The sequence below is a fragment of the Homo sapiens genome, chromosome 2 (assembly GCF_000001405.40).
Source record: "Homo sapiens chromosome 2, GRCh38.p14 Primary Assembly".
NCBI classification, from domain to species: Eukaryota; Metazoa; Chordata; class Mammalia; order Primates; family Hominidae; genus Homo; species Homo sapiens.
In genome coordinates, this window is record NC_000002.12 from 198,083,251 (window position 1) to 198,110,033 (window position 26,783).

Consider the following 26,783-nt stretch of genomic DNA (forward strand, 5'->3'; position numbering starts at 1 on the left):
GCTTCAGGAAAAAAACGTGATTTCTAGTTAAGCTGTTCAGTTAAGCACTTTGTGATACAAAGTATGTTAAGGTAAAACCTTTTATTTAAATCAACTTTAAGAAAACCTCTTTAGAAAGTTGCAGAGTATAAATGAGGAAACCTTTAAAAAAATACAGCTTTATTTCTTTTACGTATCTATTGGGAATTGAGCTAGGTAGTCGAGGCACCAGCATGAGGTTCTTAAGAAATCTGCTTTAATGAACAAATCAGAGTGATTTGTACTTAATACTTGATTTTGTTTCAAAGGCCACATAGGCATTTGAAAAATAAGTTTTTGCCTGAATCCTGTAATTTCAGCTTTCTTAGCAATTTCTCTTTTCTGAAACAGTGAAAATGTAAACTTTAGGGTAGCCTCTGTTCAAATAATCACAATATGTGAATTGAAGTTTGAGGAGTTCATAGAGTGTTACTGAATTTGTCTGTTTTCTAAAGGAAATTGATTCATTTTTTTCAAATTATTTTACAGGATCCTTCAAACCAAAAATGTGGTGGAAGAAAGAAAACCGTGTCTTTCAGCAGCATGCCATCGGAAAAGAAAATTAGCAGTGCAAATGACTGCATCAGCTTCATGCAAGCTGGCTGTGAGTTGAAGAAAGTCCGGCCAAATTCTCGCATTTACAACCGTTTTTTCACTCTGGACACAGACCTTCAAGCTCTTCGCTGGGAACCTTCAAAGAAAGACCTCGAGAAAGCCAAGCTTGATATTTCTGCCATAAAAGAGATCAGACTGGGGAAAAACACGGAAACATTTAGAAACAATGGCCTTGCTGACCAGATCTGTGAGGACTGTGCCTTTTCCATACTCCACGGGGAAAACTATGAGTCTCTGGACCTAGTTGCCAATTCAGCAGATGTGGCAAACATCTGGGTGTCTGGGTTACGGTACCTGGTTTCTCGAAGTAAGCAGCCTCTTGATTTTATGGAGGGCAACCAGAACACACCACGGTTCATGTGGTTGAAAACAGTGTTTGAAGCAGCAGATGTTGATGGGAATGGGATTATGTTGGAAGACACCTCTGTAGAGTTAATAAAACAACTCAACCCTACTCTGAAGGAAGCCAAGATCAGGTTAAAGTTTAAAGAAATCCAGAAGAGCAAGGAAAAACTAACCACCCGCGTGACCGAAGAGGAATTTTGTGAAGCTTTTTGTGAACTTTGCACCAGGCCAGAAGTGTATTTCTTACTTGTACAGATATCTAAAAACAAAGAATATTTGGATGCCAATGATCTCATGCTCTTTTTAGAAGCTGAGCAAGGAGTCACCCATATCACCGAGGATATATGCTTAGACATCATAAGGAGATACGAACTTTCTGAAGAGGGACGTCAAAAAGGGTTTCTTGCAATTGATGGCTTTACCCAGTATTTATTGTCATCAGAATGTGACATTTTTGATCCTGAGCAAAAGAAGGTTGCCCAAGATATGACCCAGCCATTATCTCACTACTATATCAATGCCTCTCATAACACCTATCTAATAGAAGACCAGTTCAGGGGGCCAGCTGACATCAATGGGTACATTAGAGCTTTGAAAATGGGCTGTCGAAGCGTTGAACTCGATGTAAGTGATGGTTCAGATAATGAACCAATCCTTTGTAATCGAAATAACATGACAACCCATGTTTCCTTTCGAAGTGTCATAGAGGTAATAAATAAATTTGCCTTTGTTGCTTCTGAATACCCACTCATTCTTTGCTTGGGAAATCACTGCTCCTTGCCGCAGCAGAAGGTAATGGCTCAACAGATGAAAAAGGTCTTTGGCAATAAACTCTATACTGAAGCACCTTTGCCCTCAGAATCCTACCTCCCATCACCAGAAAAATTAAAAAGAATGATCATTGTGAAAGGAAAGAAGTTGCCTTCTGATCCAGATGTGTTAGAAGGAGAAGTAACAGATGAAGATGAAGAAGCTGAAATGTCTCGAAGGATGTCGGTAGATTACAATGGTGAGCAGAAGCAAATCCGACTCTGTAGGGAGCTCTCTGATTTGGTGTCTATTTGTAAATCTGTTCAATACAGGGATTTTGAACTATCTATGAAAAGCCAAAACTATTGGGAAATGTGTTCATTTAGTGAAACAGAGGCCAGCCGCATTGCAAATGAGTACCCAGAGGATTTTGTTAATTATAATAAGAAGTTCTTATCAAGAATCTATCCAAGTGCCATGAGGATCGATTCCAGTAACTTGAATCCACAGGACTTTTGGAATTGTGGCTGTCAGATTGTAGCAATGAATTTTCAGACTCCGGGTCCAATGATGGACCTTCACACGGGCTGGTTTCTTCAAAACGGGGGATGTGGTTATGTTCTAAGGCCGTCTATAATGCGAGATGAAGTTTCTTACTTCAGCGCAAATACAAAGGGCATTCTACCTGGGGTGTCTCCTCTAGCTCTTCATATCAAGATCATCAGTGGTCAGAATTTCCCAAAGCCCAAGGGAGCTTGTGCCAAAGGGGATGTCATAGATCCCTATGTTTGTATAGAGATACACGGAATTCCAGCGGATTGTTCGGAACAAAGAACTAAAACTGTACAGCAAAACAGTGATAATCCTATTTTTGATGAAACTTTTGAGTTCCAAGTAAACCTACCTGAGCTGGCCATGATCCGTTTTGTTGTTCTGGATGATGACTACATTGGGGATGAGTTTATAGGGCAATATACGATACCATTTGAATGTTTGCAGCCTGGATATCGGCATGTTCCCCTGCGTTCTTTTGTGGGTGACATCATGGAGCACGTAACCCTTTTTGTCCACATAGCAATAACTAATCGAAGTGGAGGAGGAAAGGCACAGAAGCGCAGTCTTTCAGTGAGAATGGGGAAGAAAGTTCGGGAATATACCATGCTCAGGAATATCGGTCTTAAAACCATTGATGACATCTTTAAAATAGCGGTTCATCCATTACGAGAAGCCATAGATATGAGAGAAAATATGCAGGTAGGAGAAACACTCACACTCTCCTTCCCTATCCCTGCTTATTCCTACCCGTATAATGTTTTATTAATAATCTGATTTGCAAAAATTTATCAGAAAGATTGTTTAAGTCTGGGTGTGGTGACTCATTCCTGTAATCCCAGCACTTTGGGAGGCTGAGGCAGGTGGATCACTTGAGGCCAGGAGTTCGAGGCCAGCTTGGGAAACATGGTGAAACCCTGTATTTCTAAAAAACATGAAAGTTAGCCAGATGTGGTGGCGAGCACGTGTAGTCCCAGCTACCCAGGAGGCTGACATGGGAGGATTACTTGAGCCTGGGAGGTCAATGATGCAGTGTGCTGTGATTGTACCAGTGCACTCCAGTCTGGGCAACAACAGAACAAGACCCTGTCTCAAAATAAAAAGAAAGAAAGATGTGTAAACCTGTGTACCATTGAACTAAGTTCAGTATTGTCTGTGATAAAACAGATATATTTTATGTTTCTAACTGTGAATGCTATGTTAAGTTTGGACTGAACTAAGATGTAGCAAAATGCTGTATATTAAATATCCTTAGTACAAAACTGAATCAATATATGGAAATGTGCATCTGAAACAATGGGAACCAAGTAGAATATACAATATATGTGTGTAATACATAAAAAATTTATACAAACATACACATACTAATTACCAGTGTATATATAACATATTTGCATATATGATCATGAAAGAATTTGAAGTGATATAAAACAAGCATAATGTCTATTAGGTTACTTTTTAGTTTTAAATTAGGTATAATGACAACAATAATAAATTACTCCCCACAAGAACAAGTAAAACTAAACAAAAAAAATTGGCACTCAAACTGGTTGAAAAATATTTAACCTTGTCTTAGAAATGTGGTTTAATTGAAAGAACATGGGTTCTTGATCAAATCTATCCCTGTGCGATCTTGAACAAATTATTTCAGGTCTCTGATCATCAATATTCTCCATATAAGGTAAGAAAAATAGTTACACTTATCGCAAAATTATTATTAGAGTAAAATTAGGGTATATGGAAATTGACTAGCCTGAACATTTAGAAATTCAATATTAAGTTTTCTTTCCTTCATTAATGCTTATAATCTGAGACAGTGGTAAACTTAAAAAAAATTACTTAATATACTTATTAGGCTAGTGTTATTGAGATGCAAACAATAACAGATATTCACCGAGTACCTGCAATGTGCAAAGTGGATATTATTCAATTCACTTTATTTCTTTAGCTGATGTGTTTATAATAATCCTCACCAAAAATCCCTGTTTTCAAGATAGATAATAAATTTGAAAATGTTAATGCATTTCCTAAGTATTGCAAGTTAACAGATAGCAATGTTAGCCTTTAAATCCAGGACTGCCAGTATTTAATAGAACAACAGGGTGACTATAGTTAATAATAACTGTACATTTTAGAGTAACTTAAAGAGTCTAATTGGATTGTTTGCAACTCAATGGATAAATGCTTGAGGTGATGCATACCCCATTCTTCATGATGTGCTTATTTCATATTGCATGCCTGTATCAAGACTTTTCATGTACCTTATAAATATATATACCTACTATGTACCTGCAAAAGTTAAAAATTAAAGAAAATAAATCCAGGATTGCCTAATACCAAAATCCATTTCCATTATCATTCATGTGCAGAACCACAAACCCACGGCACAGTTAAATACTTGTGGTAGGTTGTCTTAGCCACCATTTAAAAAATAGAGTCCCAATATCAGCATATTCTATGTAACTTTTTCTGACATAATTCTAGTACTATTATAAATCCCTATGTTAGATTAGTTATAAACCATTTCTGCACTTAACTTTATAGATTAGACTTTACATATTTTATATAATCTTGAAATATGTACTTTGCATATTTTATATTATGTATTTAAAATACATAGAAGTGTTATAGATAAAGTGTATCCAGGTAGCGTTGATAGTTCATATTATCTTAACATAAAGTCTTTGGGGTTAAGGATTATTTGGAGTCTAATCAGAAGAAAAATGAAGGTGATCATTGTCATGAAATTCATGAGACACCTAATAAGTTAGGTACTGTTCACTGTGGGTGAAATGTAAAATAGTCATAATTTCTATTTCAAATGAATTTTTTGAAAAGACTGTAACATGGACAAATGTAGCTCTACATGAAATGTGCTTTCAGTGTGTGTGTCTGTCAGGTGCCTTTCTGATGAAGTGACAAAGGAATGCCATTGATTAGTCAGATGGAGGGTGGTGAGCAGTAGCATCCTGCTACCTTGAGGAAAAAAGCCCAAGTGAAATGCACTCCAGTGTACAACCCCTGCCATTCTGTTTTCCTGATCACCATGATACAAATCAAACATGACATTCATGATCAGCCAGTACTTAGTTGTGTGACTATCCCAGTGGTCTGCTTTGAAAAGCACTGCATAGCCTTGTGTCCCACTCTGCTTTGCTTTCATGGGTTGTTTGTGGTGATTGCTAAAAATTGAGCAAGATGAAGTATAGTTATGAATTAGCCCTCTATTATCTTTTAAAAATGAATGTACTTTTCTGTAAACCTGGGAGTGCTGGCGGTGATGTGTCAGGTGGTCAGAAGTGTGATTCCATGTTTTCTTCCTCACAGAATGCAATCGTGTCTATTAAGGAACTATGTGGACTCCCTCCAATTGCCAGTCTGAAGCAGTGCCTGTTAACTCTGTCATCTCGGCTCATCACCAGTGACAATACTCCTTCAGTCTCACTTGTGATGAAAGACAGCTTTCCTTACCTGGAGCCTCTGGGTGCAATTCCAGATGTGCAGAAAAAGATGCTGACTGCTTATGATCTGGTAGGAAATTGCGACTCCATATTTTTTTACGTGTGTGTGTGTGTGAAATCACAAATAGCAGGGACTCCTCTGTGGAACTCCAATGAATAACACAGGGTGACTACCTTTGAAACATGGATTGGAGGTAGCATGCAGAGCCGGCCCATTCAGCTTCTGCTAAGTCTCAGTGGAAAACTCTGAGAAAATGACTTGAACCTGGAGCTGCACAGGTTATAAGTGGAAAACTCTGCTTTAGCAAGGAATGAATTATTAAAAAACCCTCAAAAATATGTACACTCATCATCTAAATGACTTTAGAGTGCAATATAACCATTTAATTATATACCTATGGGAAGTAAACATGTCTCAGTGCTGCCTTATGATGGTTGAGACAAAATTTATATAGAATCTATATTTTTCAGCTAATTCCTAGAATGTACCCCTTATCCTCATGGTCCAAAATGGGTGCTGAGCTCCAGCCATAATATCTGCATTCCAACCATCAGGAGTGATGAAAAGATGTAAGACATAGCTTCTTCCTTTAAGGACGTTTCTCTGGAATAGAATAGATCATGTTTGCTTTTATTTCATCAGCCTGGAGTTGACATATAGCCACACTTAGTTGCAAAGGAGAATGGAAAATATCATTTCAAGGGGCTATATGCTAAATGTTGTCTCTTCTGTTACTAGGAAATAAGGGGAGAATGGATATTAAGGGACAACCAATAGTCTGCTACAGAGGTGAATAGGCAATTCACTTACCCCCCACCCAATAACAATGAAAAATTAAAAACATTTAACTTTAAAATAAGTTTTTAATTAGAAATTAAGAAAATATAGTAAGATATTCCCCTCACCATTAAATTGACATGTTTTTTCTCTTTAAAAATAGTACCTCTGATCAAGAATTTAAGCAAATGGATACTCTCATTCATCTACTTCTAGTGGAAAAATAAATTGATATAGTATTTCTTGGAGAAACAATTGGCAATACAATTTAAAATGCTTACGAGTTTGATCTATAGAGTTCCTTTTCTTGGATTTATTCTAAGCCAGTAGAGAGAAGCATAAACATTTATGTTAATAATTCAACATAGAAAGATTAGCTAAGTGAAATATAATAATCTATATTATAGATTCCTTTGAAGATATTAAAATCATGTGTTAGAAGAATATGTAATGGTATGGAGAAGTCCTTACAATGTTTTGTAGAAAATTTGATTACAATAAAATGGGAGATAGGATTTAAATTACATTTCTATGAATATGCCCCTAAGTTGCTAGCAGGTTATTAATAGTGAATGTTTTTATATAAGAGTGAATTTTATTTTCTTATTTATGCTTTTCTGTATTTTTTCTATATTCACCAAACTCTTTATAATGAACCCAACTAATTTTATAATTGCATAAAATAAACCTTAAGGAAGAAAAGATGAAGATTTTGTCATTAAAAAACAAGTAGAAGAAAGATATTGGAGATAAACATTCTACGAATGAAAAAGAAAAATTTCCACAGGGCATGTTCTGCTTATGAATGACCATACCTGTTATAAAATGTACTTCATGGTTGCTAGGGGGAAAGTTTACCTATTACCTGTATCTCATTTTTCATGAAATCAACTTTTTCATCATAAAAATGGGGACTGAAAGCTATTCAGTGAATAGGTATAATTGCCATCTAAGAGGTGAAATTAGGGTACTAGTTGCCATAGAGACAGACAGTAGAAATCACTTATTCCTCCACTTCTCTTTTAAGCTAAGAAAAAGAAATCATTCATGGCCAGGGAGGTCCCTGAAGCTGGCCTGTAATAAGCAGAAGGATACCTGGTCTGGGGCTGGGCAATTGCCATTTCACACCCCCGAGTGTCTGACAGTGTCTTATTTTTTGTTTTATCTGCTGAAGCCAAGACTGAAATATTAGCCTTTTCTCATCTGTATTATTACAATGCAAATTGTAATTGCAGGCAGAGCATGGTTTTCAAAGATTAAAATAAAAGGCTACGGTGGAAGCAGAAATACTTATAATGAAGTCTTTCATGTACAGTTCTCTATGGAAAACCATTTTGGGAGGGAATTGAGTGTAAATATCCTTATACCACATGGTAAACTTGGTAGAATTCAAAAATGATTAAAAACACCATTGACATCTCTGTTGAGTATTTATTTGGGGGATGGGGTGGGTAGGGACAGATACATGTAATGATGATATTGGCCTTGAAATTAAAACACCATTTTTACTTTCTAGGATTTGCATTGTATTGGTTGGCATCTTTAATGCTCTTAGTGTATTACTGTGTGTTAATTTTAAATAGGTCTTCTAAGATCTCTTCAGATCTGGAGTGAACATTTAAAAACATAGATCAAGGGGCTGGATTACACTTGCAATCCCAGGACTTTAGGAGGCCGAGGCGGGTGGATCACCTGAAGTCAGGAGTTTGAGACCAGCCTGGCCAACATAGTGAAACCCCGTCTCTACTAAAAATACAAAAATTAGCCGGGCATGGTGGCACCCGCCTGTAATCCCAGCTACTTGGGAGGCTGAGGCAGGAGAATCGCTTGAACCTGGGAGGCGGAGGTTGCAGTGAGCCGAGACTGCGCCATCGCACTCCAGCCTGGGTGACAGAGCAAGATGCAATCTCAAATAAAAAATAAAATAAAATAAAATAAAATAAAATAAAATAAAATAAAATAAAATAAAATAAAATAAAATAAAATAAAATAAAAACATAGATCAAATCAAGTCACTTTCCTGCTTAAAATCCTCCAATGGGTTCCATTAAAATAAAACGGAAACTCCTGACTGTGGCTTTACAAGGTCATTTATGATTTGCCCCTGCTTGTCTACCTCACCTGCCTCTCCATCCTTGCCCAATCTCACTACATCTCCCAACCTCATCCGCCTCTCACAACCTCACCCGTCTCTCCAGCCTCACTGCCTCTCCCAACCTCACCTGCCTCTCCAGCCTCCCCTGCCTCTTTAGTTTTACCTGCCGCTCCCAACTGCACCTGCATCTCCAGCCTCACCTGCTTCTCCCAACCTCACCTGCCTCTTTAGTTTTACTGCCTCTCCCAACCTCACCTGCCAGTCCAGCCTCACTTGCCTCTCTCACCTGCTTCCCCAGCCCCATTTGCCTCTCCCAACCTCACCAGCTTGTCCCAGTCTCACCTGCATCTCCAGTCTCATCTGCCTTTTCTAGCCTACCTGCCTCTCCAGCTTCACCTGCCTTCCCCAACCTCACCTGCCTCTCCAGTCTCATCTGCTTCTCCAGCCTCATTCTCACACCCTCTATTTTGCTCACTCTCTTCCAGCCACACTGGCTTTCTTTGCACATATTTATGGGGTATGGTGTGATATTTCCGTACATTTATACAATATGTAATGATCAAATTAGAGTAATTAGCATATCCATCACCTCAAACATTTATTTCTTAGTGGTGAGAACATTTAAAATCCTCTCTTCTGGCTATTTTGCAAGGTACTTACCACTGTACCACCGACACCACCTCTTCTAGCTATTTGGAAATATGCAATATATTATTGTTAACTATAGTCACTACTGTGCAATGGAACACCATAATTTATTCCTCCTTATCTCTTAATTCTTAGCTCAAATGTCATTTTCTCAGAAAAGCCTTCCCTAACTACTCTCCCCATACATTCCTTTGTCACATAGCCATGTTTTATTTCCATCTTCCTGCTTAGAAGTATTGAAAAATACTTTGCTTGAACTTTTTAATTGCTGTCCTCTTTTACTCCTCAATTTGAATGTAAACTCCGTGAGGTTAGATCCTATCTGTATATTTATTACTGTCACCTCTGGCACCCAAAACAATGTTGGCACATAGCACGTTATCAGGTAATGTTCACTGAGTAAAAACAATAAATAAAAGCATCTATTGTTGGTGAAAATCGTGTAGTTTCCATCCTATAACTGAACATGTTTGATGATAAATTATTAAATCCCCTTGATTTTACCTCTCTGACACCACCCTTGCTGAATTGTTCCCTATCTTATATTTGGCTAAAAAACTTACAGAGTAAGGCAAAACTATGGAGACAGTAAAAAGATTATTATTTGCCAGGGCCTTTGAGTGGGTCAGGGAGGGATGAACTGGTGGAGCACAAAGGATTTTTAAGGCAGTGGAACTATTCTGTATGAAACTGTAATGGCAGATACATGTCATTATACACTAGTCAACAACCTATAGAATGTACAACACAAAGAGTCAACCCTAATGTCAACTATGGACTTTAGCTAATAAGAATGTATCAATAGTGGCTTGTCAATTGTAGTAAATATACCACACTAATGCAAAATGTAAACAGTAGGGAAAACTGGGAGGTGGGGGTAGAGTTAGAGGGTGAGGACTCTGTACTTTCCATTTACTTTTTATGCAAACTTGAAACTTCTCGTAAAAATACAGTCTAACCACCCCCCCAACCTACCACAGACTATTAATAAAAACTGATTTGGATGAATAAGGGAAAAAAGCAAATCCAAGATTTATTGCCTAGTGGTGTGGTTGGTGTGGGGAGAAGGTATTCCAAAATGAACAGCTTGGGTTCAATTTAGACTTAAGTTGCTTAAATTTTTGGATTTCTTGAAAATGGTAATGAACTGTGTAGATGCCATCCAAGAGGAAAAATTGTTACCACTAAAAAATGCAGAATATGTTTAGAATAAAAACAACCTGAAATCTTTCCTGAACAGATACAAATGTTTTCTTTTTTCAGTATGGAAAGAAAGAAATCAGGCAACTTGGTAGCCTACATTTGTTGAAAGCAAACTTGAGTGCATCAAATTATACTATTATCAAGGGAAAATAAAATAAAATATTCTAGAAAACACTGACCCTGAGTTCATCTGCACAGATTTTTTCCCCTAAATTTAGCTTTCCATATTTATTACCCACTATAAATAAATAAATAAATAAATCCCACTATTTATTAGTCATTAAATATTTGAAAATATTTCCTCCTGAGGGTTTTAAAATTCAGTCTTAAAAGTCATTTTTTTTCTCTCTCTCTTTTTGTTTTGGAAACGGAGTCTCACTCTGTCGCCCAGACTGGAGTACAGTGGCGCGATCTCAGCTCACTGCAAGCTCCGCCTCCTGGGTTCATGCCATTCTCCTGCCTCCGCCTCCCCAGTAGCTGGGACAACAAACACCCACCACCATGCCCAGCTAATTTTTTGTATTTTTAGTAGAGACAGGGTTTCACCATGTTAGCCAGGATGGTCTTGATCTCCTGACCTCGTGATCTGCCCGCCTTGGCCTCCCAAAGTGCTGGGATTACAGGTGTGAGCCACCGTGCCCAGCCTTAAAAGTCCTTTTAAATTAGTCTTGCAATTATAATTCCATTATAGCAACTGTGTTGGTATCAAGAAATCAAAAATCAAATGTATTTGTAGCAAAATGGGCCTATTGACGTGGCAGAATTTCAGAAGAAAGGGAAGGCACACTCTCCCCTGTCTTAGCACATCTTACTTAAAGTATACGTTTTCTGTCTGCTTCCTGGGACTTGAAATTTCAAAATTACAACCAGTTCCCTAGGGTTAAGACTTTTTATCTTTTTTAAAATGCAGCAACATCCCTGTGAGTAATAACACACTGGGTTATCAGTAATTCATTCTTACTTTCGAGTAAATTTAGCAGATCCTGTTCTACAAGCAGGTTTTAACCTGGGAGAAGCGAGAGATGGTAATGACAGAGGGTTCACCAAGTCTGGGTAAGGTGAAGGTGGGGTTGCTCAAAGAATTGCAATTTGCTTACGGGCAGCCCTGTTTACTGTTACCATTAATACTCTCAATAGGATGTTGCCATGTAAATGCCTATCTAGTATTTTGTGCAACTGAAGCAGAGATGACTTTGCTGATATAAAACGTGTCACGGCTGGAGGTGGGAAGTGTACAGCTTCTAAAACAGCACTAGAGGGAACTGGGAGCACTATCAATCAATAACTCTGGCAAGTAGAAAAGGCTCTAAAAGTCGAAGGTAGAATGGATGCCTCTTTCGCAGGCTAAATACACAAAGAGAAGAGCTGTTGGCATTGGATTGTTCACCACAGTGCCATTTCAGTGGCCCTCTGCTCATCAGGAAAGTTTTCCAGAAACTGTCCCTGGAGCTTAATTTGAAATCAGAAGACCATTTCTAAGTGACTCTTCCATTTATTTTACTGCGATTCTTCTTCTTTTTTGGCTCAGGTCTCTGAAAGAGCAAGCATCACTTCCCCACTCTGGATTTTTACTTTCTCTGGAAAAATATCCCACTGAAGTAGGTAGTATAGTCACAGAGTCATCGTCTTTTAAGGCTGATAATGTCATATAATTATATTTTGCAAATAAAAGTAATATGACTTTTTTTCATTTAGGATTCATCTTAAATTGGGTGTTGTTAAGAGTAAAAATTGGTTACAGAAAGAGTTACTTAGTGTTATAGCCAGAAAATGGAGATGTTTAATTTGATAAACATTTTCTGAACTCCTTTTAATGTGCAAGCCACTGCGTTAAATGTTGTGGAAGGTTCAGCAGATCTTGTGCTTCAGCAGCTTACCAGCAGGAGATGTAACCTGGTGAGGTACTACCCAGCCCTAGGAGTCTACTATTGGGGATGTGAATATGTTACTCATCATTTAACATGGAGTTGTAATAGCAGGGGATTACACTGGAAAACATTTTGTAATTTTAGTAGGGCACTATCAAAACTAGTTTGTTTGAATTGGTTTGACTTTTTTCATTCTGCAATCGTGTTTTTATGCATGTAGACTTAGCTCCAGCCCTAATGTTTTACTCTAGTCACATTTCTACGTTTTATTCTGTGTAACCAAAGATGAATAAGCAGAGACGGAATCAGCACAGATAGTCATGATAGAACGAATGACAGTTCTGTAACTCAAGAGAAATAGGAAAATGTGTAGGAACACATATATTTGCCACTTGTAAAATAACATTTTCTCATTTGATATGCCATTTTGTATATGTCTTTAGGCTTTTAATTATTCAACTAAACAAGAATATTTTGGATGCCTACTATGTGCAAGGCAGTGTGCAAGGTGCTAGAGAAAGAAATAGTATGAAGCAAAACTTCTGTCCTTGAGGAATGGGCAACCCTGATGGGAAAGGAGGACTTACACCTAAAAAGGGAAGTAGTCACACGCAGTGTTCAGAGAGTTGACCACATGGTATTTTATGTCCTTAGCTGGAGTCTTAGATCATTTAGTCCTATGATAGACTTTTCACAGTGACTTATAACACACTTCTTCTACCACCTCTGCCACCTGGTACTCAGCAGAATTTTATTTCCAAATACATTTGAAAGAAAAATATTATCTGACTTTATATACTTTCTTCTTTAGATGGCCGAGCTTTTCCTTTTCAGTGTTCTCACCTTTCTAATTTTTCATGCAGTCAAGAAGTATTTTCCTAATATATTTGATCATTTCCATTATTTTAAGTTGTTATGAAAAATATTTGGGTAATATCTTAAATATATCATTCTGAAGTGGAATAGCTACAGGAGGTTGCAACTGTAAGAAATAAGCCCAAAGCATTCTCCAAGGTGACTTCTGTGCTACCTTATTTAACATTAACATAAAAGTTAAAACTTTACTATGGTAAGAACAATTTTTTTTAAATTTGTTGTTAAAAAAAGGAAATCAAAACAATCTAGAGAACATAAGTCAAGGGTTATTTAATCTTTTACTAAGTCAGTTGGGGGTGATTTGGAGAGCAGTTGATAGTGCTAGAGTGAGCAGGAATCTAGCAAAAAAGAGCTAATTGCTGTCTAATCACGCTTGCAATGGAATGAATACACTAGTAAGTATTACAGTTAAGCCAGGCATAATGGTTGGCTTAAATACATTCTGTTATATCAGTGTTATAACCAGTATATATTCAGCCTCAGGATGGGAAAGAGTTGTAGTTATGTCTATAGTTCCCCGATTTAGTTTTGCTTATTGAAATCCATTTAAATTAAAATTGGATTCAGTCAAAGATAGTCTCATTCCATCACTGTCTCTTATTGTGAAGTTTGTGTGGAACTCTATTAGTTTGCATTTCAAGAAGTATCTTTGCTTGTATAGTAATAGAACCTAAAAAAAGAACTGTCTGCTGGCATGTGCCCAAACAGAGCTCGGTGTTTAAAAACAAGATGCTGTATTCTTGGGGTATGGAAACTTCCTTCACATGTGGGTACAGCAATGTCTTTGGACACATTTTCTGTGTAAGGGGAAAATTATCAGCATCTTGAGGAGTGGCAAAATTTCTACTTGGTACCAGGATCTCTAGGACCATGGATATCAGAGATACATATCCATAAGCAAGTATTTCAGGTTGGCTTTTTTTTGTGGAATTTTGTCCATGCATACTCAAAGCTGGCTTTGCATTCTTGAATCCTCAGGCTTTGTAACACTTTTGGTTAAAGGTAGTAAGGTAGTCAAATTGGCCTGAAAATTCTGGAGAAGGTTTACTAAGGCTACTCGTCTGGATATTTTATGAAGGAGTTAAATCGTAATGACAGCTGGATAAAAACAAATATTTCTAATGACTACTCAAGGTATAGCTGACAACTGTTTGGGGAACAAAACAACAAGAGAAAAAAAATGATCTGTTTATGCCAAAAGGGCCCCCTGAAGTAGATTTTGTCACCATTGTGAATGTGGAGACAAACGTCCTCTGACTTGCTGTGTGCAAGTTCACTTGTCCTGCGCCATTACAAATCAGGCTTGCAAATGTGATGCATTAGTCCCAGGACAGAGAGCTCTGTTGCATACACCAAAGGCAGTGGACTTCCAGTGAACTTGCAAATATTCTGACTTTACACTTGTTTCTGTATGACCGAGAGTTGACCACACTGACAGGCTTGATTGCTTAAAAACAACATGCCAATCTATTAGCAATGCTTTTATTTGTTTCATTTTAAATATTTAAGGAACTTGAGAATGAAAGGAAATAATCTTCATTCTAGTTAGCAAATATATATGTAAGAGCAATCTGATTTACAAATGTACCAAGTTTAATAAGAGTCATCTTGTTTTAAATGATCTGAAAAGATGAGCCACTGCAGAACCATAGAATCGAAACCTAGTTTTTTTGCTTAGAAGGAAAGTAAGAGCTAGAGGAATTATTCCAGTGTTCTGAAAAGGAGAGGACAAAAAAAGTCTAGAGTAGATTAGCTTTTTATTGACTCACATTTTCTCAAGCAATAGCTTCTCCAAAGTTCCTAACTCCTTCCTGAAAAAACAGAGGACTCAAGTAAATACATTTCTTCCTATGTTTCATATGAAAAAATGTTTATCATGATTGATGCATGTTGTGAATTAGACTTGGAGGGAAAAGCAGTCATGGCAAAATTTATTTTCATGATGCTTAATTTGATGAATGTTACTTTATTGTTTATTACCAACTTGCACTTGCAATAGGAATTCTACACTTTAATATGGTCTGCTCCTCAAGAATGCCTAGATTCTAGTCTAAATTGTTTCACTAGCTAGTTGTGTGGCTTTAAGCAAGCTAAGTTTTAGCTCAGGGTTTTCAACTATAAAATGTGGTTGTCCATGATAGACTGTCTTTAAGATAACTTCTAAGTAGAAAGATTGTGGTTCTAGGAATTTAGGTCTAATTCAGGATAAAATGGGAATCTATGCAAGATTTTTGAGTCCTAATATGACGAAAGTGCATCTTTTCAGTATTATTAAATAATTACATTGACTTTGCAATGATTCTGGGCAATTAGTTAAACTTCTTACTGGTAAGAGCTGGAAGGATAGTTTCTTCACAAAAGCTGGACAATTTAATCCATCTTTGAGTAACAGTATCACTGCCCCCTTCAGTAAAGTTTTCTTTTTAAAGACATAATTTTACTCTTAAAGGGTAACTTTACACACCCCTGCTCTGGATACATCTAATGCATAAAGTAATGTCAACCTTTATCTGGGCAAGTCCTCTATTCTTTTAGAGACAAAGCCCTGACAAGGAAATAAGATCCATTAGGAGATATTCATGTGACAGAACCAGAGAAAAGCTCTTTGTATTACTACAACAGGCAAAGGCAACTAGCAGCTCAGGCTGAGACATCAGATATGTAAATCAGGCCACTGCCAGATTCTATCGACTGAATCAACCCAGCCGTCATGGCTGAGTCGTGCTGACTTCCCGGCTCAGGGATTATCTGAGGACATCTTCTCACCTTCTCTGCTTGGCTTTTGCGCTTTGTATTTTATTTCCATCAGTATCATTTAGAGATCTTGGAAGGAGGTGAAACTCAAATCGACCATTTTTTCTCCCTGACAACTTAGATAAATTACTTAGTTGAGAGGAAAATTTGAAATTTTTGACTTAAATTGTGGTTTGGATTATTGGTACATTTTAGCTATTCATCTCATTTGTTTTTTCTATAGCTACTAATAATTGAAAGCTGACTGCAGAAAATAGAATAAATTTATAATTCTCAATACAATAGAAGCTGTTGACAGAGAGAAAAATCAAATCCCCTTATGAAACAATTTCATATGAGCAATGATTTTATGTTCTGAGAATATTAATGATAAGATATGTGAGGACACAATTTGAGACTTTTATTACTAAAAGATTTCTGGTTATTTCTGAGGAATCTCAAACAGAAGCTTGTTTTGAGGTAAAATTATACTCGATTATCTCTTTATGACGTTTATTAGACAATGGGAAAAACAGAAACAACTTATACCATGGGGTTAACAAATATTTACTTGGGGGCTTTTGAGAAGAACTTGAACTATAAGGTTTTGGAGTATGTTTTGATCCTAAATTTATTTTACCTCAAATAAGCATGTAATAAAGTTTTAACATTTGTTTTACTTTCTGATGTTTGAGTATTATATTTCTACAGGGGTAATCCTATTAAAAGCTTTATGCTTATTTTTCAGTACTTAATTTGAAAGAGAATTAAGAGCATACAAAATTACAGAAAAATGAGGAAGCCTAGGAAAAATAAGAGTGGAGAAATCTAGAGACAAAAAGAGAGATGGGAGTTCAAAAAGATAATTACAAGTTTGAGAAGTGGTCAGTAATAAATAAAATGTTTTATTGCACACACATATGTGGGTAGCAGACAGAGAGAAGAAATAAGTATCACAAAAGCAAAACGGGGAAAAAAGTGATTATGTAAATGGATGGATGCATCTGGGAATACAAAGCTGAATAAGATTGAGTCCCTGCTCTACTGGAATTACAATTTACTGGAGAAGTAACAAGATGGAAATAATATAGGTAAAGAATAAATCATAAGATAGAAAATAAAAAAATTCCATGAACAGATTTAAAAAAATAGAATGTTTTGGGAATATGGGGAGTGAGAAGGAGACAGAAGGGGAAATCAGGAAACTAATAGAGGAGAGGGCACTGAAGTGAGCTTTGAGGCCTGGCAGGATTTTGATCAGGGCAGATGGCTTAAGAAAGTTTCCCTAATAGAAAGAAATGTGTGGGAGGAGGAACAAGTAGGGTGTGTTTAGAGAAGCGTGATTCATCCATGTCAACTGAGACTTAGGGGAACTGGAACACCATAGTTCTAGGTTAGAAAAATTTTACTTCATTCAGTAAGCAAGGGAGAAAATGACAAAGCCAGGAATTAGTACTGTAGTTTTGGATGATGATTCTGGAAGTGGTACTTAGGAAGGAGTGAGATCAGAAGGACCAGAACCTACTGGTAGCTGAGTGGGACTTCAAGCCCACCTTTGAGTGCTGCTTGAGAGAATTCGGAGAAGATAGGAGATACTTCATTTTTTTGGTGGGAGTGGGGTGGGGGAGAGACAGGGAGGATAAAATGGAGCAGATAATATTTTTAAAGGTGACTTTGCTGCCTCTGGAAGGATAAAAAACCCTATTCTGGTTCTCATTGCTATTATGTTCCAATACCACTTGCCTTGATATTGCAGTAATCTTTGATGTTAAGGGAGTGGAATTAGGTATTTATGAATATGACCTGGGACATAAGGAATGTATATACATTTATTTGACAGCTACTTATTTGGTGCCCACTGTGTGCCAAGCATGTTACACAAGAGAGTAATCATAAGGAAGGTGACACTAGCCTCAGTGTTAGGATGGATGGGGGTTGGAACAGAGCTTATCCTTCTCCCTCCCATCTGTTGTGGTGAGACTATGGCTTACTTTTACTGGAGGTATCATGTGGGTCTCTCTGTATGTCGTCTTCCCAATGAGCCAGTTCAAGGATTCTGACAACCACCTTTTTGATGTTTATTTTGTAACAGATGATTCAAGAGAGCCGGTTTCTCATAGAAATGGCGGACACAGTCCAGGAAAAGATTGTACAGTGTCAGAAAGCAGGTAATTGTTTTTAATTTTTTTTTCTGTTTTTTTTTTCTATTTTGTTTGGAAACTATAATAATTCTTGGTAGATTTTTTTTTCAGAAACTTTCTGCTTCTCTTAAAATGCAGTTATTTTATAGCAATGCTTAACTATACTTTAAGTTACACTTTAGTCTTTGTTTAGTACAGATGAAATCCAAGTGATAATAGGTGGGTTGTATGTGAGCGTACAGGGTTGGGGTGGTGTCTGAAGAAGTCTAGAGGGATGAGGGTTTCTGAATCTAGTTTTGTGGTTTGGAACCCCATCAAAACCTTCTACTGCTGGTATTGAAGCTATGGTTCCATACAGTCCCTTAAAACCCACTTCAATTTTACAATTGGAACCAAAATCCTATTAATCTTCCAGGCTTTTGCCCCATTACTAGTCTTCACTTTAGATTTAGATTTGTTCTTTCTTTTTAAGTATGGGATGAGTCACATATCTGTGAGAGTGTACTTGTTTATTTCTGTTCACCTTCATCCACACCCTTGTGCTTTCATCTCCTGGATCCACAACCTTCTCTATCCACATACCCGATAATGATTATGACGAGGAAGATGACAATAGTAGCAACTGCTTGATACATTGCATATGCTATACCAAGCACACACACTATCTTACTCATGACAACTCTGCAAAGTAATCATCATTATATCCGATTTATAGATGAGGCATCTGAGATTCTGAGAGACTGAGTGACTTACCCTAGGTGCCATATCAACACGCGGTGGAGCTGCCCTTTGAATCCAGACCAAACTTTTAAAATGGTGCTTTTCACTGGCTGACCAGCAGGCTTAGATATTTCTGTTGACAGGAAGCACAAAAATAATAATACCTGATACTTACATGATGCCAGGCACTGCTCTGAGATCTTTATATGTACTGATTGACTTAAGCTTTACCTCTGTCCCATGAGGTAAACCCACTTGTTAACCACATGTCACCCGTGAGGAAACTGAAGACCAGAGATGTCAGGGTCTTTCCGAGACTCACATAGCTAGTAAGTGGTAGAGCTGGGCTCCACACTCATGTTCTTTACTATGTGCTATGTTTGTGATGTTAGCACCAGGAAAGTTAACGTGGTCTTAGGCTGCATTAATAAAAATATAAAAACTAGAACAAGGAGAATGGTGGTAGATCCCTGACCTCATGTAGGCTTCTCCAAGCCCATTTTGAGTACAGCGTTCACTCCTGGAGGCAAGTTCCCACAGAGCTCAGCTCCAGGAAACTGGGCAATGCAGTGGCCTTGCCTGGATGCCATCTTTAAAGAAGAGTTTCATTGGCAAGCTGAATATGTTTGAATGGTTAACTGAGAGAAGACTTGAAGGGATTTTACCCAATATCTTTCTTCAAATATCTAAAAGCTTGCACTGTAGAAAAGAGTTTAGACCTTTTTGGTCTGTGTCCAGCTAGCACCAAGGAGTAGAAGTTCCAAGGAAGGAGATTTTTGGCTTGATGTCAGTCATAGCTTTCTGAAGATGGAATGAGCTGTTCATAAGAGAATATGATTTCCATCTTTAAGGTGCTAAGACAAAGGCTGAAGAAATGTGATGGTGATGGTTTTCATAATCTTCAAGCTCGAGCAGATGGTTGAGCTAAAAATACTTTAAGGTCATTCCCAAATCTGAAATACTTGGGTGTTTCCCAAAATGCTATTTTTAAAAAAGCCTTTTTATTTTTAGCCAACATTACTGATTACTCATTGTTATCTATGTGGGTTCCAGGACCTACTATTAAGCGACAGGGATGGTTCATAAAGAAAAATAAGACATATGCATTCCTCACATATGGTTGCCATTGACACATCAGACCATTTCATGCATAAACCAGGAAGAGGACAAACAAGGTCCATGTAACCTGTTGGAATAATTTGCTTCTTACTTATTTACTTATTAAAATTTTTTTTAATTTTTAATTTTTGTGGGTACATAGGAGGTGTATATATTTTTGGGGTACATGAGATGTTCTGATACAAGCATGTAATGTGTAACAATTATATCATGAAAAATGGGGTATCCATCCCCTCAAGCATTTCTCTTTTGTGTTACAAACAATCCAATTATACTGTTTTAGTTACTTTTAAATGTACAATTAACTTATTATTGATTATAGTCATCTTGTTGTGTTATCAATTACTAGGTCTTATTCATTCTTCCTATTTTTTTGTACCCATAGAATTTACTTTTTTCCTTCTCATGTCATTTTCTATGGCTCCTGGCTGTTTTAAATACAATTTAGCCTAATGCATTGACTGTTGTCAATTTGTGCATAAGGACAGCTACTTGGTGGGATGAACAGAATGAAAAGGATAATTCAATTTAGGGATTTGGAAATTATGAGAAGACAGGAATGTGAAATTATATTTTACTGATAATATTTTCATTATAAGATGCCCATTTTTCTGAGATATATACTCAGATTTCTTATGCATTCTTTCTTCAAAGGGATGGAGTTCCATGAAGAACTTCATAATTTGGGGGCAAAAGAAGGCTTGAAGGGAAGAAAACTCAACAAAGCAACTGAGAGCTTTGCTTGGAACATTACAGTATTGAAGGTAGATGAAACACTCAGATGTCCCCTGTGCCTTTACTTTTCTTCTCCTCATCTCTCCAATGTGTAGAGAAATGTAAAGGATTAAATATGATGGTTTGGATTTTTAAACCTTCACTTTAGATTCAGGGTTACATGTGCAGGTTTGTTATATAGGTAAACTGTGTGTCGCGGGGGGCTGGAGTGCAGATTATTTTGTCACCCAAGTAATAAGCACCTAGTATGCAATAGGTAGTTTTTTGACCCTCTCTCTCCTCCCACCCTCCATCCTCATGTAGTCCCTGGTGTCTGCTGTTCCTCTCTTTGTGTCCATGTGGTCTCATTGTTTAGTTCCCACTTATAAGTGAGAATATATAGTATTTGGTTTTCTGTTTCTGCATTAGTTTGCTTAGGATAAAGCCCTCCAGCTCCATCCATGTTGCTGCAAAGGACATGATCTTATTCTTTTTTATGGCTGTGTAGTATTCTGTGGTGTATATGTACCACATTATCTTTATCCAGTCCACTATTGACGGACATGTAGGTTGATTCCATGCTTTGCTATTGTGAATAGTGCTGTGACAAACAGACATGTCCATGTGTCTTTATGGTAGAAGGAATTATATTCCTTTGTGTATATACCCACTAATGGGATTGCTGGGGTCAAATGGTAATTCTGTTTTAAGTTCTTTGAGAAATTGTCACACTGCTTTCCACATGGCTGAATGAATTTACATTCCCACCAGCATTGTATAAACATTCGCTTTTCTCCACAACCTTGCCAGCATGTGTTATTTTCTGACTTTTAGCTATTCTGACTGTGAGATGGTATCTCACTGTGGTTTTGATTTGGATTTCTCTAAGGATTAGTGATGTTGAACACCTTTTTATATGCTTGTTGGCCGCGTATATGTCTTCTTTTGAAAAGTGTCTGTTCACGTCCTTTGCCTGCTTTCTAATGGGGTGTTTATTTTTTTGCTTGTTAAGTTCCTTATAAATTCTGAATGTTAGACCTTTGTTGGATGCATAGTTTGCAAATATCTTCTCCCATTCTGTAGGTTGTCTGTTTGCTGTCTTGATAGTTTCTTTTGCTGTGCAGAAGTTCTTTAATTAGATCCCACTGTCAATTTTTGTTTTTATTGTAATTGCTTTTGGTGTCTTTGTCATGAAATCTTTATTAGGTCCTATGTCCAGAATGGTATTTCCTAGGTTAACTTCCAGAGATTTTATAGTTTTAGGTTTTACATTTAAGTCTTTAATCCATGTTGAGTGATTTTTGTATATGGTACAAGGAAGAGGTCCAATTTCAATCTTCTGCACATGACTAGCTAGTTATTCCAGCACCACTTATTGAATAGGGAGTCCTTTCTCTATTGCTTGTTGTTGTTGACTTTATTGAAGCTGAGATGGTTGTAGGTGTGCAGCATTATTTCTGAGCTCTCTATTCTGTTCCATTGGTCTATATGTCTGTTTTTGTACCAATGCCATGCTGTTTTGATTACTGTAGCCTTGTAGTATCGTTTGAAGTTGGGTCAAGTGATGGCTTCAGGAATGTGTGGCTTGATCTCTAGGTTCATACTCTAGGAGATGGGGAGCTGCATACTGGAATTAACATGGTTTTTGCCTTAATAAGGCAATGAGGTTTTCGGTGCAGGCAGGGTACAGCCCATGTGTGAGATTAATTTGCCTGGTGTGTGTGTGTGTGTGTGTGTGTGTGTGTGTGTGTGTTTACTCACATGAATACTTACGTTCAAGTCAATATGGCTGTTCTTGTTTGTGGAAAGAATAATGACAAATGCTTCTGGGGAAGATTCCAACACAAATGATTTTGAAGAGACAAAGTACAAAATATCTAGGGCCATTGAGGATTTTTATTTTAAGAACAGTTCCTATAAATACATTTCTTTTTGCAAATAACTTTGGAAGTCATTTTCTTGAGATTATGATTTGCTCTCTGCTGCACATGAATTTTAGAATTTTGAAGTAAATATGCCACTTTTTATATTTTCTTACATGAAAAAAGAAATGATTTAGGCAGACAATATATTCTTGACAGCTAAATGGGAGAAAAATAGCTACAAACAAAATTAATAATTGCTGACATTTAAAGAACACTCATTTTGTGCTAGGTACTGTTTTATGAGGTTTATATGAATTAACAATTTAATACTCACACCAACTCAGTATCGTTATTAATCTCATTTTACAGGTGAGAAAACGGAGGCATTGGAAGTCTGTGTATATTTCCTGAGGGCGCTCAGCTAGTAAATGGTGTAACTAAATTTTAAGCTCAGGCAGTCTGGCTCCAGACCCTGTGTCTTTAACCTGTGCTGCAGAGATGCTGCACATGTTTATGTGAAAGTGTTAGGTTAGCTGTAAGACATATTACAAATGTCTATTAAAAATTCAGTCCACAAGTGATAAGCCCCTACTATGCATTGGGCTCTGTGCTAGGCACTGGGAATACGTGGAGAACATGAGATACAGACCCTGACCTCATGAAGTTAGCAGTCTGAGTCCAGTGGAGGAGGGGGATGGATAAGGCATCATTTGCTTAAGGAGCAGGGATGACCTAGAGCTGTAGTGTTAAAGAGGTGCTTATTATAACCCTAGATTATAATGTGGCAGTGTGTACCCTGATATAAACATTTTATGTTCAGAAGATTTTATATGGGCTTGTTAATGTGCCTGTCACAGAAAGGTGCTAGGGATACAAATATCAGGAGGATTACCTGGGTCTCCAAGACTAGTCTATAAGGAGAGACAGACATGTAACTAATAATGGCCATCAATTGTTCAGCACTTATTTTGTGATCAGCACTCAAGGCTAGGTACTTTATGTACATTTCCCCTTTCTTCCTTGCCACAACAGTGCAATCTTGCAACATGACATGCTGACTCTGATAGGACTCTCTCCATCTCACAAATGAGGAAATTGAGGCTTGTGGGGGTTGAAATTTCTTGCCTGGAGTCACACAGCTAGTAAACAGCCAGCCTGCAATTTTTAACTCACGCCCATGGTTCTATCCACTACACTGTTCTGCCTCCTCTAAAACTCCATCCATGTGGCTGAGTCCCTGTATTAGTCTTTTCTCACGCTGCTAATAAAGACGTACCCGAGAGTGGGTAATTAATTTATAAGAGAAAGAGGTTTAATTGTCTCACAATTCAGCATGGCTGGGAGGGCCACAGGAAACTTACAGTCATGGTGCAAGAGGAAGCAAACATGTCCTTTTTCATATGGCAGCAGCAAGGAGAAGTGCTGAGCAAAAGGTGGAAAAGCCCTTTATAAAACCATCAGATCTTGTGAGAACTCACTCACTATTATGAAAACAGCATGAGGATAACCTCCCTTATGATTTGATTACCTCCCACCAGGTCCCTCCTACAACACGTGGGGATTGTGGGAACAACAATTCAAGATGACATTTGGGTCCAAACCATATCAGTCCCATTGGGTCCAGGCAGCCTAGTGCAGGAATAAGAATGCAGGCCCTGTGTGATTACCTGATAGTGGTGAGACTAGCCAAGTTATATAATCTCCCTCAGGGTAGTAATAATACCTACATCTCAGATTTTGTGAGAATTAAATGAGATAATACATACAAAAGATGTAAGTCACAGTGCACAAAACTAGACAGCATATATGTTAGCTGTTATTTGTTTGTTTGCCAGGTGAGGATAAACATGGAGAAATGAGGTTTTTGTTATTTTTATTTCTTTGTTAACTTCTGACTTAAGCCCACTTAGTGTTGTCAGAGATTTCTTAATGTTTTTGTTTGGTTTAGTAACAGAAGCTGATTGTTAGATGTGATTGAGCAAATGCTGTTCAAATTATTCCAAGAGAGAGCTTTTCAGACAGAATTGATTTTCTATTATTATAACTCACATACTAGCTGCTGGTATTTCAGCTTGAGCACTAGAGTAGTGGACTACTACTAAACAAGAGTAGAGAACATTTCCACACTTCCAATAGCTCCTTTTTCTCCTCCATTGAGTTTGGGGCCTGTTAATCTGGTGTCCTTTCCCCAAGAGCTGGACAAATGACCTCCTTTGAATTTGAATTATTAGCTGAGAGAAAAAGAGCCTGGGCTCTGTTGGAGACTTTTTATTCCAGTGGTGCTGCTCTAAGAAGATATCTTTTTCTATACGATTCTTCCTTTAGTTCTTATGCATTAGATCTGAAACACTTGATTCCCAATTAATTCTCCAGACTTGCTATTGATTTTCAGAGCTCCTCTAAGTATTTTAATAAATGCTCTTTGTTTATAAGTTTAGTAGATTCAATTTACCTTGCTTCCAGTTGGTTGAATGATTAATAACCATCCTGGAAAGACATAATCACTGAATTAGGAGGCTGTGGTACAATTCTGCGTTGCCTACTGAAAAAGTTTCCTTATACATGATTTAGACTAGTATTCCCTACTATCTAGAGAGAGGGAGTGGGAATTAACCAATTCTGGTTAAATGTGTTGGTTTGTATTTCTAAAAATATTTAATTCCAGTGTAATTTCCAATAAGTAAGGAAGGAGCTGGAAAAAAATGAGAAATGTGCCCTCAGCAAGTTGGGGGATTGACAGCATGGAGTGGTGCAAAGGGGCATTGGCTTTAGAGTAAATTGAGCTGAGACTGAAAAATAAATTGTTTAGTGTTTTCTGCAGTTCAATATTACATTTATCTGATATTAAAAGCTGGAGAAAAAAATTGCAGAAAGAAAAATGACTAACGACAATATAATGAATAAGAATTATAATTACAGTGTCCAAATTGTTGCAGAGACCAGGACTTAGTATTTAGCAAGGAAACTGAAATCAAGGTGCTTCTGGAAGATCCCACACTTGTGTTTTTCTTTAATTCATATTCTAGCACCTACGTGGGTCCAGTATAGGGACTTGTTTAGCGTATCTTTTGCATTTTTCCATACTTTTGCCATATGTCTATATCCAACTGTAGCAGTCAATTTGCTCTTCCTTTCTTTCTTTTTCACTATTGTACATGAAATTGGTCTCCTTACATAGCCATTGTGTTTATTTAGGATGATAGGATGATTCAGTCCTCACTACCTTTTCAAGACAATCACTGGATCAAAATAACTCCATTCCATTCCACCCTCACATGTTAAAAGACCTTTCCCTCTGTTTCTTCTCCATGATGTCCTTCTTGTGCTGATATAATAAAATACCTGAGACTGGGTAATTTATAAACAACAGAAATTTATTTCTCACAGTTCTTGGGGCTGAGAAATCCAAGATCAAGGCAGGAGTGGATTTAGTGTCTGGTGAGAGCACAGTCTCTTCTTCCAAGATGGTGACTTCTTGCTTCGTCTTTCAGAGGGGAGGAACGGTGTCTCCTCAAATGGCTGAAGGGAAAGAAAGGCAAAAGAAGGTAAAAGGGCCTAGCTAGTTCCCTCCAGCCCTTTTACAGGGCACTAATCACCTCCTAAAGGCCTTACCTCTTGATATTATTGCATTGGGGATTAAGTTCCAACATGAATTTTGGAAGGGACACAAACATTCAAACTATAGACATTTGGTTGTTAACATAATATTAAAATCTCAAAATGGAAATTTTTCCTGTTTTTTAAGGCTTTCAGAAAGGGATACTACAACTTCACTTACGTAGCCAACATATTCTAGTACATTGTTAGTAATTTTGGAAGTGTTTCACTCATGAGAGTTCTGAAGATCTCTTGGGAGCAAGATGTGGAATTACACTATATCACTGATAAAATGCTATTTGCAATGAAGTGGAATTCATCTAAAGTCTTGAACTCTATCCAGAGTGATTTGACTTTTTAAGTACAAAAAGAACTGCATTGTAAAGGTGATCACATCTATAAAACTGAAATTAGAAAGAACCCAAGGGGAGCATTTTAGTGAGCTTTCCCAATATATATTTTTCTAACTTGTCCTGTTGGCTATTTTAAGAAACTAAATTTTATTACTTTGTGTTTTTAAAAGTTTTATGTAAAAATCAATTTTAGCAGGCTGGAGAAGTATCAAGTAGAGATATATAAAAATAATATTAAAGAAATATAATTAATAAATATTTTATTACAAAGGAAAAACTATGAAGTAGGTAATCACTAGAGCTTAAAGAGAAATAAAAGGGTTAAGAAGTAG

The 26,783-nt window shown here is 37.2% G+C and overlaps 1 protein-coding gene across 4 annotated transcripts in view; it reads left to right on the forward strand.

The window, feature by feature from the left end:
* The window catches only part of PLCL1 (phospholipase C like 1 (inactive)), a 345,271-nt gene that overhangs the window by 278,658 nt on the left and 39,830 nt on the right, over positions 1–26,783 (forward strand). For all 4 annotated transcript variants that reach the window (NM_006226.4, XM_005246643.5, XM_017004339.3 and 1 more), the window contains exons 2-5: positions 508–2,982; positions 5,608–5,811; positions 18,035–18,110; positions 20,577–20,686. In NM_006226.4, the coding sequence (NP_006217.3) occupies positions 508–2,982; positions 5,608–5,811; positions 18,035–18,110; positions 20,577–20,686 (2,865 nt within the window). The remainder of the gene's footprint in view (positions 1–507; positions 2,983–5,607; positions 5,812–18,034; positions 18,111–20,576; positions 20,687–26,783) is intronic.